Source organism: Homo sapiens, chromosome 7, assembly GCF_000001405.40.
Source record: "Homo sapiens chromosome 7, GRCh38.p14 Primary Assembly".
Lineage (NCBI taxonomy): Eukaryota > Metazoa > Chordata > Mammalia > Primates > Hominidae > Homo > Homo sapiens.
Genome location: NC_000007.14, coordinates 133,314,035 through 133,331,993, shown reverse-complemented (window position 1 = coordinate 133,331,993; position 17,959 = coordinate 133,314,035). Strand labels below are relative to the sequence as shown.

General features: G+C 40.3%; 1 protein-coding gene and 1 pseudogene across 11 annotated transcripts in view; one reads left to right on the top strand and one right to left on the bottom strand.

Moving 5' to 3' along the window:
* Positions 1-17,959, bottom strand: part of EXOC4 (exocyst complex component 4) — an 847,874-nt gene that overhangs the window by 768,958 nt on the left and 60,957 nt on the right. For all 11 annotated transcript variants that reach the window (XR_007060126.1, XR_007060125.1, XR_007060123.1 and 8 more), the window contains exon 5: positions 14,604-14,710. Coding sequence is in view for 3 of the 11 variants with exons in the window: in NM_021807.4 (NP_068579.3) it covers positions 14,604-14,710 (107 nt within the window). In the remaining 8 variants the exon portion in view is untranslated. The remainder of the gene's footprint in view (positions 1-14,603; positions 14,711-17,959) is intronic.
* RPS15AP23 (ribosomal protein S15a pseudogene 23) lies at positions 16,583-16,985 on the top strand (annotated as a pseudogene).

Here is a 17,959-nt window from a genome sequence, read left to right as displayed (position 1 = left end):
CTCCACACTTCTCCCATCCTTCTACCTAAGTTATAGTTGAACTACTACATCTAAATTAGACATTAGTTTCTCTGTGCATTACAAAATACTGTGACTGAGGAGAATAAGAGAAAGGCTTGCAAAATACATGCCCTACATATTTAGACTGGGAACAGCATGAGGCCAGGCTCCAACAATTATCATCTTGGTTGAACCTGGACCAACCACTCAACCTTCCTGCATTCAGCTTCCGTATCTGTAAAGTGATTGTAAAGATAATACCTCACTTTGGGAGGCCGAGGCGGGCGGATCACAAGGTCAGGAGATAGAGACCATCCTGGCTAACACGGTGAAACCCCGTCTCTACTAAAAATACAAAAAATTAGCCGGGCGAGGTGGCGGGCGCCTGTAGTCCCAGCTACTGGGGAGGCTGAGGCAGGAGAATGGCATGAACCCCAGGGGGCGGAGCCTGCAGTGAGCCGAGATTGCGCCACTGCACTCCAGCCTGGGCGACAGCGAGACTCCATCTCAAAAAAAAAAAAAAAAAAAAAAAGAAAAAAGAAAGAAGATAATACCTGATTAACCAGAATATAAGTAGTTTTTCATATATTTCTTAGCATTGGATTCCCCTTATGCAAACTGTTCATAATTTTGCCTATTACTCTATTAGCTTGTTTTATTGATTTATAGAGATTCTTTACATATTCTAGATACTTAATCTCCATCAGATAAATGCCAATTTTTCCACGGACAGGGACTTGTCTGTGAATTGCAAATTATTTGCTCAGTTCTTTATTATGTCATTTCTTTTCTTCATTAATATGTAGGAAAGCTAAGCGGATGCTAATCATTTTTCTTTTAATGGATTCTTGCTTTTGCCAACCTGTGCCTTGACTTTGCATTTTATAAGTAAATGTTTTATATCTGATCGCACTTAAATTTAATGATCTAAATATAATAATTGTAACAGTAATCACATAGTACCTGCCCTAACTACGTCATAGGCCTGTTGCATCATTTAAATGATATATTTTGCAAACTATAACTTATAAACTATTATTTAAAAAAAAAAAAACCTCTCACAGAAAAGTCACCCACAGATTGCTGGCAAGATGGCCGAATAGGAACAGCTCCGGTTTGCAGCTCCCAGTGAGATCGACGCAGAAGAAGGGGGATTTCTGCATTTCCAACTGAGGTACCCGGTTCATCTCACTGGGACTGGTTGGACAGTGGGTGCAGCCCACCAAGGGCGAGCCAAAGCAAGATGGGATGTTGCCTCACCCAGGAAGCACAAGGAATTCTCTCCCCCTACCCAACAGAAGCTGTGAGGGACTGTGAGGGACTGTGAGGGACTGTGAGGGACTGTGCCGTGCCGTGAGGAACAGTGCACTCCGGACTAGATACTGAACTTTTCTCACAGTCTTTGCAACCCACAGACCAGGAGATTCCCTCCAGTGCCTACACCACCAGGGCCCTGGATTTCAAGCACAAAACTGGGCAACCATTTGGGCAGACACTGAGCTAGCTGCAGTTTTTATTTCCAAACCCCAGGGATGCTTGGAACACCAGCAAGACAGAACCGTTCACTCCCCTGGAAAGGGGTGCTGAAGCCAGGGAGCGAAGTTCTGGCTCAGTGGGTCCCACCCCCACGGAGCATAGGTAACTTAAGATCTAGTGGTTTGAAATTCTCGGTGCCAGCATAGCAGCAGTCTGAGATTGACCTGGGACACTTGAGCTTGGTGGGGGGAGGGGCGTCTGCCATTGCTGAGGCTTGAATAGGAGGTTTTACCCTCACAGAGTAAACAATGCCACTGCAAAGTTCCAACTGGGCAGAGTGCACCACAGCTCAGCAAGGCCGCTGTGGCCAGATTGCCTCTCTAGATTCCTCCTCTCTGGGCAGGGCATCTCTGAAAAAAGGCAGCAGCCCCAGTCAGGGGCTTACAGATGAAACCCCCACCTCCCTGTAACAGAGCACCTAGGGGAAGGGGCAGCTGTGGGCACAGCTTCAGCAGACTTAAACGTCCCTGCCTGACGGCTCTGAAGAGAGCAACAGATCTCCCAGCACAGCATTTGAGCTCTGCTAAGGGTCAGATTGCCTCAAGTGGGTCCCTGACCCCCATGCCTCCTGACTAGGAGACACCTCCCAGTAGGGGCCGACAGACACCTCATAAAGGAGAGCTCTGGCTGGCATCTGGCTGGTGCCCCTCTGAGATGAAGCTTCCAGAGGAAGGAACAGGCAGCAATCTTTGCTGTTCTGTAGCCTCTGCTGGTGATACCCAGGCAAACAAAATCTGGAGTGTACCTCCAGCAAACTCCAGCAGACCTACAGCAGAGGGTCCTGACTGTTAGAAGGAAAACTAACACATAGAAAGAAATAGTATCAACATCAACAAAAAGGATGGCCACTCAGAGACCCCATCTGAAGGTCACCGACTTCAAAGACCAAAGGTAGATAAATCCACGAAGATGGGGTGAAACCAATGCAAAATGGCTGAAAATTCCAAAAACTAGAATGCCTCTTCTCCTAAGGATCACAACTCCTCAGCAGCAAGGGAACAAAACTGGATGGAGAATGAGTTTGATGAATGAGTTGACAAAAGTAGGCTTCAGAAGGTCGGTAATAACAAACTTCTCCAAGTTAAAGGAACATGTTCTAACCCATCACAAGGAAGCTAAAAGCCTTGAAAAAGGGTTAGACAAATGGCTAACTAGAAGAACCAGTATAGAGAAGAGCTTAAATGACCTGATGGAGCTGAAAACCACAGTACAAGAACTTTGTGAAGCATACACAAGCTTCAATAGCTGATTTGATCAAGTGGAAGAAATGATATCAGTGATTGAAGATCAAATTAATGAAATAAAGCAAGAAGACAAGATTGGAGGGAAAAGAGTGAAAAGAAATGAACAAAGCCTCCAAGAAATATGGAACCATGTGAAAAGACCAAATCTACATTTGATTGGTGTACCTGAAAGTGACAGGGAGAATGGAACCAAGTTAGAAAACATTCTTCAGGATATTATCCAGGAGAACTTCCCCAACCTAGCAAGACAGGCCAACATTCAAATTCAGGAAATACAGAGAACACCACAAAAATACTCCTCAAGAAGAGCAACCCCAAGACATATAACCATCAGATTCACCAAGGCTGAAATTAAAGAAAAAATGTTATGGGCAGCCCGAGAGAAAGGCTGGGTTACCCACAATGGGAAGCCCATCAAACTAACAGCAGATCTCTGCAAAACCCTATAAGCAAGAAGACAGTGAGGGCCAATATTCAACATTCTTAAAGAAAAGAATTTTCAACCTAGGATTTCATATCCAGCCAAACTAAGTTTCATAAACGAAGGAGAAATAAAATCCTTTACACACAAGCAAATGCTGAGAGATTCTGTCACCACCAGGCCTGCCTTACAAAAGTCCAGAGGAAGCACTAAAATGGAAAGGAATAACCAGTACCAACCACTGCAAAAACATACCAAACTGTAAAGACCATTGACACTATGAAAAAACTGCATCAACAGGCAAAATAACCAACTAGCATACTAATGACAGGATCAAATTCACACATAACAATATTAACCTTAAATTTAAACAGGCTAAATGCCCCAATTAAAAGGCACAAACTGGCAAATTGGATAAAAAGTCAAGACCCAGCAGTGTGCTGTATTCAGGAAACCCATCTCACGTGCAAAGACACACATAGGCTCAAATAAAAGGATGCAGGAATATTTACCAAGCAAATGGAAAGCAAAAAAAAAACAGGGGTTGCAATCCTAGTCTCAGATAAAACAGACTTTAAACCAACAAAGATCAAAAGAGACAAGGCCAGTACATATTGGTAAAGGGATCAATTCAACAAGAAGAGCTAACTATCCTAAATATATACAGACCCAATACAGAAGCACTCAGATTCATAAAGCAAGTTCTTAGGAAGAGACTTAGACTCCCACACAATAATAGTTGGAGACTTTTTAACACCCCACTGTAAATATTAGACAGATCAACGAGACAGAAAATTAACAAGGATATTCAGGACTTGAACTCAGCTCTGGAACAAGCAGACCTAATAGACCTCTACAGAACTCTCCACCACAAATCAACAGAATATACATTCTTCTCAGCACCTCATAGCACTTATTCTAAAAGTGACCACACAATTGGAAGTAAACACTCCTCAGCAAATGCAAAAGAACGGAAATCATAACAAACAGTATCTCAGACCACAGTGCAATCAAATTAGAACTCAGGATTAAGAAACTCACTCAAAATCACACAACTACATGGAAACTGAACAACCTGCTCCTGAATAACTACTGGGTAAATAACAAAATGAAGGCAGAAATAAAGATATTCCTTGAAACCAATGAGAACAAAGACACAATGCAACAAAATCTCTGGGACACATTTAAAGCAGTGTTTGGAGGGAAATTTATAGCACTAAATGCCCACAAGAGAAAGCAGGAAAGATCTAAAACTGACACTCTAACATCACAATTGAAAGAACAAGAGAAGCAAGAGCAAACAAATTCAAAAGCTAGCAGAAGACAAGAAATAACTAAGATCAGAGCAGAAATGAAGGAGATACAGGCACAAAAAAACCCTTCAAAAAAAATCAATGAATCCAGGAGCTGGTTTTTGGAAAAGTTTAACAAAATAGGGGTGGTTCCAAGATAGCCGAACAAGAACAGCTCCAGTCTACAGCCCACAGCATGAGTGACGCAGAAGACGGGTGATTTCTGCATTTCCAACTGAGGTACTGGGTTCATCTCACTGGGGCTTGTCGGACAGTGGGGGCAGGACAGTGGGTGCGCAGCCCACCAAGCGTGAGCTGAAGCAGGGCGAAGCATCGCCTCACTCGGGAAGCACAAGGGGTCAGAGAATTCCCTTTCCTAGCCAAAGGAAGCAGTGATGGATGGCACCTGGAAAATCAGGACACTCCCACCCTAATACTGCGCTTTTCCAACAGTCTTAGCAAATGGCACACCGGGAGATTATATCCCACGCCTGGCTTGGAGAGTCCCACGCCCATGGAGCCTCACTCATTGCTAGCACAGCAGTCTGAGATTGACCTGCAAGGCAGCAGCAAGGCTGGGGAAGGGGCGCCTGCCATTGCTGAGCCTTGAGTAGGTAAACAAAGGGGCCAGGAAGCTCGAACTGGGTGGAGCCCACCACAGCTCAAGGAGGCCTGCCTACCTTTGTAGACTGCACCTCTGGGGGCAGGGCATAGCCGAACGAAAGGCAGCAGAAACCTCTGCAGACTTAAATGTCCCTGTCTGACAGCTTTGAAGTTTGTAGTGGTTCTCCCAGCACGGAATTTGAGATCTGAGAACGGACAGACTGCCCCCTCAAGTGGGTCCCTGACCCCCGAGTAGCCTAACTGGGAGGCACCATCCAGTAGGGGCAGAATGACACCTCACACAGCCGGCTGCCCCTCTGAGACGAAGCTTCCAGAGGAACGATCAGTCAGCAACATTTGCTGTTCAGCAATATTCACTGTTCTGCAGCCTCTGCTGCTGATACCCAGGCAAACAGGGTCTGGAGTAGACCTCCGGCAAACTCCAATAGACCTGCAGCTCAGGGTCCTGACTCTTAGAAGGAAAACTAACAAACAGAAAGGACATCCACACCAAAACCCCATCTGTACGTCACCATCATCAAAGACCAAAGGCAGATAAAACCACAAAGATGGGGAAAAAACAGAGCAGAAAGCTGAAAATTCTAAAAATCAGAGCGCCTCTCCCCCTCCAAAGGAACGCAGCTCCTCGCCAGCAACGGAACAAAGCTGGATGGAGAATGACTTTGACGAGTTTAGAGAAGGCTTCAGACGATCAAACTTCTCTGAGCTAAAGGAGGAAGTTCGAACCCATTGCAAAGAAGTTAAAAACCTTAAAAAAAGATTAGACGAATGGCTAACTAGAATAACCAATGTAGAGAAGTCCTTAAATGACCTGATGGAGCTGAAAAACATGGCGTGAGAACTACGTGACGAATGCACAAGCTTCAGTAGCCGATTTGATCAACTGGAAGAAGAGGTATCAGTGAATGAAGATCAAATGAATGAAATGAAGCAAGAAGAGAAGTTTAGAGAAAAAAGAGTAAAAAGAAACGAACAAAGCCTCCAAGAAATATGGGACTATGTGAAAAGACCAAATCTATGTCTGATTGGTGTACCTGAAAGCGACAGGGAGAATGGAACCAAGTTGGAAAACACTCTGCAGGAAATTATACAGGAGAACTTCCCCAACCTAGCAAGGCAGGCCCACATTCAAATTCAGGAAATACAGAGAATGCCACAAAGATAATCCTCAAGAAGAGCAACTCCAAGGCAAATAATTGTCAGATTCACCAAAGTTGGAATGAAGGGAAAAAATATTAAGGGCAGCCAGAGAGAAAGGTCGGGTTACCCACAAAGGGAAGCCCATCAGACTAACAGCGGATCTCTCGGCAGAAACTCTACAAGCCAGAAGAGAGTGGGGGCCAATATACAACATTCTTAAAGAAAAGAATTTTCAGCCCAGAATTTCATATCCAGCCAAACTAAGCTTCAAAAGTGAAGGAGAAATAAAATCCTTTACAGACAAGCAAATGCTGAGAGATTCTGTCACCACCAGGCCTGCCTTACAAGAGCTCCTGAAGGAAGCACTAAACATGGAAAGGAACAACCAGTACCAGCTGCTGCAAAAACATGCCAAACTGTAAAGACCATCAATGCTAGGAAGCAACTGCATCAACTAACAAGCAAAATAACCAGCTAACATCATAATGACAGGACCAAATTCACACATAACAATATCACCCTTGAATGTAAATGGGCTAAATGCTCCAATGAAAAGAAACAGACTGACAAATTGGATGAAGAGTCAAGACCCATCAGTGTGCTGTATTCAGGAGACCCATCTCACGTGCAGAGACACACATAGGCTCAAAATAGAGGGATGGAGGAAAATCTACCAAGCAAATGGAAAACAAAAAAAGGCAGGGGTTGCAATCCTAGTCTCTGATAAAACAGACTTTAAACCAACAAAGATCAAAAGAGACAAAGAAGGCCATTACATAATGGTAAAGGGATCAATTCAACAAGAAGAGCTAACTATCCTAAACATATATCCACCCAATACAGGAGCACCCAGATTCATAAAGCAAGTCCTTAGAGACCTACAAAGAGGCTTAGACTCCCACACAATAATAATGGGAGACTTTAACACCCCACTGTCAACATTAGACAGATCAACAAGACAGAAAGTTAACAAGGATATACAGGAATTGAACTCAGCTCTGCACCAAGCAGACCTAATAGACCTCTACAGAACTCTCCACCACAAATCAACAGAATATGCATTCTTCTCAGCACCACATCACACTTATTCCAAAATTGACCCCATAGTAGGAAGTAAAGCACTCCTCAGCAATTGTAAAAGAACAGAAATCACAACAAACTGTCTCTCAGACAACAGTGCAATCGAATTAGAACTCAGGATTAAGAAACTCACTCAAAATCACACAACTACATGGAAACTGAACAACCTGCTCCTGAATACTACTGGGTACATAACAAAATGAAGGCAGAAATAAAGATGTTCTTCGAAACCAATGAGAACAAAGACACAACATACCAGAATATCTGGGACACATTTAAAGCAGTGTGTAGAGGGAAATGTATAGCACTAAATGCCCACAAGAGAAAGCAGGAAAGATCTAAAATTGACACCCTAACAACACAATTAAAAGAACTAGAGAAGCAAGAACAAACACATTCAAAAGCTAGCAGAAGGCAAGAAATAACTAAGATCAGAGCAGAACTGAAGAAAAGAGAGACCAAAAAAACCCTTCAAAAATCAATGAATCCAGGAGCTGATTTTTTGAAAAGACCAACAAAATTGATAGACCACTAGCAAGACTAATAAAGAAAAAAAGAGAGAAGAATCAAACAGACGCAATAAAAAATGACAAAGGGGATATCACCACTGATCCCACAGAAATACAAACTACCATCAGAGAATACTATAAACACCTCTATGCAAATAAACTAGAAAATCTAGAAGAAATGGATAAATTCCTTGACACATACACCCTCCCAAGACTAAACCAGGAAGAAGTTGAATCTCTGAATAGACCAATAACAGGCTCTGAAATTGAGGCAATAATTAATAGCTTACCAACGAAAAAAAAGTCCAGGATCAGATGGATTCACAGCCAAATTCTACCAGAGGTACAAGGAGGAGCTGGTACCATTCCTTCTGAAACTATTCCAATCAACAGAAAAAGAGGGAATCCTCCCTAACTCATTTTATGAGGCCAGCATCATCCTGATACCAAAGCCTGACAGAGGCGCAACAAAAAAAGAGAATTTTAGACCAATATCCCTGATGAACTTGATGCAAAAATCCTCAATAAAATATTGGCAAACCGAATCCAGCAGCACATCAAAAAGCTTATCCACCATGATCAAGTGGGCTTCATCCCTGGGATGCAAGGCTGGTTCAACATACACAAATCAATAAACATAATCCAGCATATAAACAGAACCAAAGACAAAAACCACATGAGTATCTCAATAGATCCAGAAAGGCCTTTGACAAAATTCAACACCCCTTTACGCTAAAAACTCTCGATAAACTAGGTATTGATGGAACATATCTCAAAATAGTAAGAGCTATTTATGACAAACCCACAGCCAATATCATACTGAATGGGCAAAAACTGGAAGCATTCCCTTTGAAAACCAGCACAAGAAAACGATGCCCTCTCTCACCACTCCTATTCAACATACTATTGGAAGTTCTGGCCAGGGCAATCAGGCAAGAGAAGGAAATAAAGGGTATTCAATTAGGAAAAGAGGAAGTCCAATTGTCTCTGTTTGCAGATGACATGATTGTATATTTAGAAAACCCCACTGTCTCAGCCCAAGATCTCCTTAAGCTGATAAGCAACTTCAGCAAAGTCTCAGGATACAAAATCAATGTGCAAAAATCACAAGCATTCCTATACACCAATAACAGACAGAGAGCCAAATCATGAGTGAACTCCCATTCACAATTGCTACAAAGAGAATAAAATACTTAGGGATACAACTTACAAAGGATGTGAAGGACCTCTTCAAGGAGAACTACAAACCACTGCTCAAGGAAATAAGAGAGGACACAAACGGAAAAACATTCCATGCTCATGGATAGGAAGAATCAATGTCGTGAAAATGGCCATACTGCCCAAAGTAATTTACAGATTCGATACTATCCCCATCAAGCTACCATTGACTTTCTTCACAGAATTGGAAAAAAACTACTTTAAATTTCATATGGAACCAAAAAAGAGCCTGCATAGCCAAGATAATCCTAAGCAAACAGAACAAAGCTGGAGGCATCACACTACCTGACTTCAAACTATACTAGAAGGCGACAGTAACCAAAACAGCATGGTATTGGTAACAAAACAGATATACAGAAGAATGGAACAGAACAGAAGCCTCAGAAATAACACCACACATCTACAACCATCTGACCTTTCACAAATCTGACAAAAACAAGCAATGGGGAAAGGATTCCCTATGTAATAAATGGTGTTGGGAAAACTCACTAGCCATATGCAGAAAACTGAAACTGGACCCTTTCCTTACACCTTATATAAAAATTAACTCAAGGTGTATTAAAGACTTAAACGTAAGACCTAAAACCATAAAAACCCTAGAAGAAAACCTGGGCAATACCATTCAGGACATAGGAATGGGCAAAGACTTTGTCTAAAACACCAAAAGCAATGGCAACAAAAGCCAAAATTGACAAATGGGATCTAATTAAACTAAAGAGCTTCTGCACAGCAAAAGAAACTATCATCAGAGTGAACACGCAACCTACAGAATGGGAGACAATTTTTGCAATCTATCCATCTGACAAAGGGCTAATATCCAGAATCTACAAAGAACTTAAACAAATGTACAAGAAAAAAACAAACAACCCCATCAAAAAGTGGGTGAAGGATATGAACAGACACTTCTCAAAAGAAGACATTTATGCAGCCAACATAATGAAAATGCTCATCATCACTGGTCATCAGAGAAATGCAAATCAAAACCACAATGAGATACCATCTCACACCAGTTAGAATGGTGATCATTAAAAAGTCAGGAAACGACAGATGCTGGAGAGGGTGTGGAGAAATAGGAACACTTTTACACTGTTGGTGGGAGTGTAAATTAGTTAAACCATTGTGGAAGACAGTGTGGCAATTCCTCAAGGATCTGGAACCAAAAATACCGTTTGACCCTGCAATCCCATTACTGGGTATATACCCAAAGATTATAAATCGTTTTACTATAAAGCACATGCACATGTATGTTTATTATGGCACTATACACAATAGCAAAGACTTGGAACCAACCCAAATGTCCATCAATGATAGACTGGATAAAGAAAATGTGGCACATATACACCATGGAATACTATGCAGCCATAAAAAAGGATGAGTTCATGTCCTCTAACACAAGAACAGAAAACCAAACACCTCATGTTCTCACTCATAAGTGGGAGTTGAACAATGAGAACATATGGACACAGGAGAGGAACATCACACACCTGGGCCTTTCGGTCAGGGCGGGGCTAGGGGAGGGATAGCATTAGGAGAAATACCTAATATAGATGATGTGTTTATGGGTGCAGCAAACCATGGCACGTGTATACCTATGTAACAAAACTATACATTCTGCACATGTACCACAGAACTTAAAGTATAATTTAAAAAAAAAAAGTCACCCACAACTCTACCTCAAAATAGGACACGTGAAAAACAACTTGTTTAAAAGCAATCAAAATTCTTATTTAATTAAAATAACCTGAAAGTTCTCAGGAATCACCTCCAATCTTAATTTATGGTATCCCAATGGGAGAGCCATACTCCCCAGGGATTCCCTAATGGAACTTCCTCTATAAAAGTGTCAATTCTAATGGATTACACCCTCAATCTTACTGTTTCACAAAATGAGAGAGGAGCTTTAAGAGCCTATGTTAAATTCCCAGCTGAAAACGGCTATTACTTTCTAGGCTGACTTGCAGAGCACTTCACAAATAGACTCTTAGGACTTCCAGTTTATTATTAAGAATAAGACAAAATTCCTGCTTTTTATTATAGTATATTTCATCAGCCCCATACTTTTATATGTACTTAGTAACATTTTGTGCAGTTCTCTACATAATTTACATCTTCCTCATTTATACAATTCCCTTTAATAATGTGATCCAGATTAATAGAGTCCTAAAGACTACACTGCAATGACTTAAAAAGATTTCGCTACATAATTTGAAGAAAGTCAAATTTTTTACACTTGCTCCTAAAGATAACTTAAGTCACAAAATGGGCAGCGTAGAGTGTGGTAAGCAGAATTATGGTTGCCCAAAGATATTCATGTCCTAATCCCTAGAACCTGTGATTAGTCACATGGCAAAGGAGACTGCAGATGTAATTAAAGTTAAGGACCTTGAGATGGGAAGATTAGCCAGAATTATCCAGGTGGAATCAATCTAATCACGAGTCCTTAAAAAGAGGAAAGAGGCACAGAAGAGTGGGTCAGAGAGAGGCAACATGAGAAGAATGTGACCCACCATTGCTGGTTTTGAAGATGGAGGAAGGAAACCATGAATGAACCAAGGAATATGGTGGCCTCCAGGAGCCAGAAAGGCAAGAAAACAGATTTTCCCCTAGAGCCTCCAAAAAGGAACACAGCCCTGCCAACACCTTGATTTTACTGCTATCAGATTTGTGTTAGACTTCTCACCTACAAAACTGTAAGATAATAAATTTATGTTGTTTAAGCCACTAAGTTTGTGTGAGTAGAAAATTAATACAAAGAGGACACCTAGCTTGTTTTCAGCAAAACAAACTGGTTAGAAGAGCATAGTCGAACCTGGCTCTAAGCTGAAATCACAACCACTTGTCAACTGTGTAAACTTTTATCAATTATTAACCTCCCTGTGCCTCAGTTTTCTCATCTGTAAAATGGGACTGATAATAAATTGTTATAAAATTGTTGAGGGACTAAATGAGTTAATTCATGTAAAGCACTTAAGACATTGCTTTACCATATGGTAGGCACTAAACACATATTAACCTCTGCTATTATTGACTTTAATCAATAATATTTTTACCTTCTTTTTTGGTCACGCACAAAAAAAAAAAAAAAAAAAAAGCACACGATCAAGTCTTCAAAATAGTCAAGGAAATGAACCCATCTAAAAAGAAACGTCTGGCCAGGCATGGTAGCTCATGACTGTAATCCAAACACTTTGGGAGGCCAAGGCGGACAATTACCTGAGGTCAGGAGTTTGAGACCAGCCCAGCTGACATAGTGAAACCCTGTTTCTACAAAAATTAGCTGGGTGTGGTGGTGCACGCCTGTAATCCCAGCTACTTGGGAGGCTGAGGCAGGAGAATCGCATGAGCCCAGAAGGAGGAGGTTGCAGTGGGCCGAGATCGCACCACTGCACTCCAGCTCGGGCCACAAGAGTGAAACACCGTCTCAAATAAATAAATAAATAAATAAAAGGTTTATACATATCTCTACAAGCAGTCTCCATAATGCTCCTAGCCCCAGTCAACTACCAAGCAGTTCTTCAACAGTAATTCCTAATAATACCAAAATCAGAGTGTCACCATGAACTCCACTAAGTAATGAATGCAAACTCCAGAAGCTGACAGATAAAGTGCCTATCAAAAAGTAAGGCCTATCATAGTAAGAATAATAGATGTAGCAAAATTAGCTTCCACTGAAATTTGCCGTAACTGGCATATTTCAGCTTATTTTATATTTATACAACACTCATTTGCAAAGCCTGCCCTGTCATTTCTTCATAAATAATTAAATTTTTTATTTCACTTGGCCACTGACTTGGCAACATTTACATAAATTAATATAACCAGGCTAAGCAGTAATGATTCACATTACAAAAAAGCAAAGATGTAACAACTGGTAATTTCCATAAAAGGCAGAGATAAAATACATATCAAAGGTACAAATATATTTTGTTTCATAATTCCACAGTCTACAACCCCTCAGAGCAGTGTTAAAACTCAAAAGCAACATTACATCAGAAAGAGGGAGAAAACAAAACCTTTCTAGCTCCAAGAAGAGGCTGGAGTACAAACTATTGTAAAGTATCATAATAAAAATAAATGACTGCAATTTTTTAAAACTTGGCTACTAATTAAACAAAGGAAAATCTATTATCAAATTCTATACTTTCCTGTAGTTAAAGTAATAAACTTGAAGATTCCAAGCCTAAATAATCCTAAAACAATTTTAAGTGGCATTTTAAGGTAACAAAATATGCCCCAACAATATATTAAGCTCTCAACAGAAACATTTCCAATTAGTTACACAAAATGTACTGATTGAATCCAAATTGTTTTTCTATTTTTTTCTACCTTTTCATTATTTCAAGCTCTACAGCACTAATAAGAACTATAAGAACTAATTTTTATCTGAAAAGACAATGATAATAAACATTACAATTTCGTTAAAAGGCAATGAAGATTTTGGCTGCCACAAGAAGGCACCTGCGAGGCATCCCACAAAAGACATCGAGTCTTCTTCCCCAACCCAGTTACAAAAGCAGAGAAACTCTCTGCAGAGGCCCAGAAGCTCTCCAAGCCCAGTTGAGCTGAACCCTCTGCAAAGGCAAGCCTAAGGCAATCCACAAGATTCCCCTAAATCTTTGCATCCAAAGTATACCCTCCTGCCCTCAACCTTAAACATAACCCCAAAATGGCTTTGTCTTATTCAATAGGATATTGGATATCTCCAAAGAAGAAAAGATAAGTTTGTAGATATTTCCTCAAAGTGTGTTACAGGTACGACTATGAGTGCACACGTGGATGCATGCACATTTAGAAGTGGAGAGGGCATAGGACAGAGGTCACACACTCAGAAGCTCCCAGGACCAGACACTGAATGCAATACATGAGATAAATAAGTAAAAGCTACTAGGAGTAGTAAAGATTATAGCACAATGGAAAGCATATGCTCTATCAAAAAGCATCCAAACTCAACTTTAGAAAAACAGTGCTGGTCGCCCGGGTGTGGTGGCTCACGCCTGTAATGCCAACACTTTGGGAGGTCAGGAGTTTGAGACCAGCCTGGCCAACATGGTGAAACCCTGTCTCTACTAAAAATACAAAAATTAGCTGGGCATGGTGGCAGGCACCTGTAATCCCAGCTTCTCTTGAGGCCAAGGCAGGAGAATCCCTTGAACCCAGGAGGCAGAGGTTGCAGAGAGCCAAAATCGTGCCACTACACTCCAGCCTGGGCAACAGAGCGAGACTCCGTCTCAAAAAAAAAGAAAGAAAGAAAGAAAGAAAAACAGTGCTGGTCAAACAAAACACAGATGCAGCTGGATTCAGCAGGCAGGCCAGGTTCAGCTGCCACTTTTCAACCCTGATAATGCAACAGCCCAATAAATCACTGTACATCTTATTTGCTCTGAAGGTTGCAAAGGGCTCATCACAGGTTCCAACACACCTAGCTCAGGCCCACCTAGCCCAGCCCAACCTAGCTCAGCCCCCAAAAAGCTCCTCCAGATATCTACCTAGGAACTAAGACATACTAAAAAGCTTAGTGGCTGAAGAATTAAATACTTACCACTTGAGCTTCCAGCAGTAGAATAGTGAGAGGTATCAAGGAATTTTCGAGGAGTAGGGAGGTTTGTAACATCAATCAGAGGAACAGAAGCATCTTTCACGAGGGAGCTGAACGGGAAAAGAAGCACTAGTTACCACTTTCTTCAAAACCAACTAAAGTCCTCCCACTACAGCCCCACCCTTACCACTTTTGTTTTTGTCATGAGCCCTCTTTACACTGGAACTGGATCTCCCCAGTATATACTATACTGGATCTCCCCAGTATATTTCCAATAAAGAGGTGACTGTCACAGACAGGGGTATAAAAATGTATTGTAAGGGTTCCAAGTACTTAAATTTTTATTTTGTCATTTCATTCAATGCTGTTTAAAAAATTAGTGTAGTGTATTCTGGATCAACTGGATAACCACCTTGTAATAACACTATGCCAGGCAATTTCACTGTCCTCCTTTGTATCTGTATTAAATATTAATTTATCAACAAAGAAAGATCAAATGACAACATGCCATGATACTGAATAAAGGTTTAACTAGTGTTTACTTGTGTTTTTCAGGCTATAGTTTTTGACATATGCCGGAAGTTTACTACATTCAGTTTTCTTTAAAAGAGACTCATAAATTTCATGACGTGGACAATCACAACAATTAAAATGATTTAAGGATCTCAAACAGGTTAATTCAGTATTTACCCATTTCACCTTTCCTAAGAAGGCCAAGCCCCTCATCTTAATGATTAACTTTAAATAAACTAATAAACTTTAAATAAACGCATAAATCAACTTCCTTCAAAATAAACACATTAATTTTAAATCATGAAAACTATAAAAAACAAAATTTCCAATTAATTCCCATCTCAAAATACCTGTTAAGTGAAAGAATGCAGGCTATGCCAAGCCAACTAAACCCTATGCCCTGCTCTCAAGAAATGGAATCATCTCGCACACTATCTACAACAGAAGAGCCCCTCGAAGCCAAATCCAAGGGTAGGGAAGTGGAAGCCATAATTCTCACTTTTTAGTACTGAAATACATCATCAGTAGCAGTGGCTAGAGCAGGCAAAGGGGAAGCAGAGAAGAGACCACGCCTATAGGAAAGATTTCTTCAAATGGAAGGAAGGAAGGAAGGATGTGTGCAATTGGGAACAACATCTGCCCCCACCACAGCAATATATCCCCATCTCCTTCACACACTCCTTTTGGAACAAATGTGCTAGGTATGTGTGTATTTATAATCCAATAAAAAACAAACATGTTTTTTCAGAGATCTTTGAAAAATAAAGTTTGTTAAGTGATAATTCGGGTTCAAGTGATAATTTCACACTGTGTTAAAGAGTGAAATTATCACATAAGGTTTTATTCTTTTCACTGAGTACAAATAATGTAGGAGCCACTGTCCTAGGCCTTGAGGATCACTATGACAGTCATTAACGTCTCCCTTTTGACTTGTTACAGGGAAACAGGGAATCATTACTCGAACAATTCTTCAGCATCCATTATGTGCTTGGCACTGTGCTCAGTGCTAAGAATGTGAGTATGACTAAGATATGAACTAAACCAAACAGCATATTTCCAATTGTTAAAATCACTCACAGGCTAATGTGAAAAGTGGAGTATAAGATATTAAAGTAACAGAAAGCATTTACCAGGAATTGAACTGGCATCCTCCCAACAACTCTTTTCTACCAATGTAAACCTGTAAGTTCCTAGCCTAAACTATCTTAAGAAAATCCAACAGTCCTCAAATCCAATAACTTTTCATAATGGTTTATCTATTTATAAAATAAATTAGATAATAGATTTGTCCATTCTTTCATGTTTTATGACTTCTTTTGTCTTCTCATTTTTTTCCTCTCAATGACGTCATCCTCTTTCACCTGCATTTTACTCACAATTACAAAACACTTCACAGGTCCCCCTAGGCCCTGGATACAGATGCCCAAAGACACAAAGAGCTCTTTCCACCATCTTTCCGTGCCACCCTAATGGTGTGCATAAATGTCCTGTTTGCTGCTTTCCAGAGCATCGACAATACCGAAAAGAGAGGCAAACACCTGGTTCTTATTAGACCTTGCTCCAAAGTCACTGTCTAGTGTCTTCATCAACTGTGATGACAAAGCATGGGCACATGAGCGAATTTGAAATCACTGATGATCACAGAGCTGGGAAAATTATTGGGAACCTCACAGTGTGAACAAGTTGTTGTGAGCAAGTGTGATCAGCCCCAGATTTGATGTCCAACTCAAAGATCTAGAAAAATCTAGAAAAATCACAGACTAATCTGCTCCCATCCCACCAGTTTGGTTTCATTGTACTGACTCAGCTCACATCATGGACCATGAAGAAGCAACACAAAAACACACAGGAGAGAAAATCCTGGGGTTCTTCATCTATGGATGTAATACATATTTACAAATAAAATGCTTCAATGGACAAATGAATAAAGTAAAATAAAAATGTTTTAATTGTAAAAAAAGACACAGGTTTATGGTACTGCTACAGAGTAAAAAAAACTTCAACTTTAAATGACAGGAAAAATATAATACATTGTCTAAATATTTAAATATTTCTAGAACAAAGTGGAGGAATTACTTTTAAAGTACAGATAAATTAAGGTATCAATCAGCAGGAAAATTCAATTATATAGCTGGAATACTGCCTGCCACACCTAATGATGAAACAGTTGTTACTATGTGTGTGCACACTGATATTTTTATATGTGTATTTATCATAGTACACACTTCTATGAACACAGATGTACATGCACATCACTCTAGATTAAATCCTACAATTATTTTCTCAGTTTTAACCTAAAAACATATTTCAGTTAAATTTAGGGTGATAAACAGCTTGCCATTTCAACTCTGAAAAATATAACCTGCTGATTTTATTATCAGAGCCAGAAGGGCCCTCAAACTCCATCAATAAACTTTTAGAAAGTCAATTTACTGCAAAACTATTTTCATACACTCATCTCTCTCTCTAAAATTTTCCCTTAAGCTTCAATTTTCTCCTTGGTGAGCACTAACCCAAAGGCAAGTAACTCTGGAAATGACTTTAGTTTTTCTCCTGCTGTTTTATGAAAGGACTTAGTCTCAAAAGTTCCAGAGAAAGGGGGCACACCCACTCACTTTGTGACTACAGACATGAATGAAGCTCAGCATAAGGTAGGTGCTATTGTAGAATATTGCATTAAGTAATATGGACCTCAGTTTCCATTTCACAACAGAAAAAAAGACCTCTTCTCACCACATATCAGAGATAAAGCTGAGAAGGGATTGATTAATTAATACCTTCAACGGGTTTTTAATCCCTCAGAGAAAGCATTTTTTGAAAACAAAAAATAAAATAAAAATTATAAC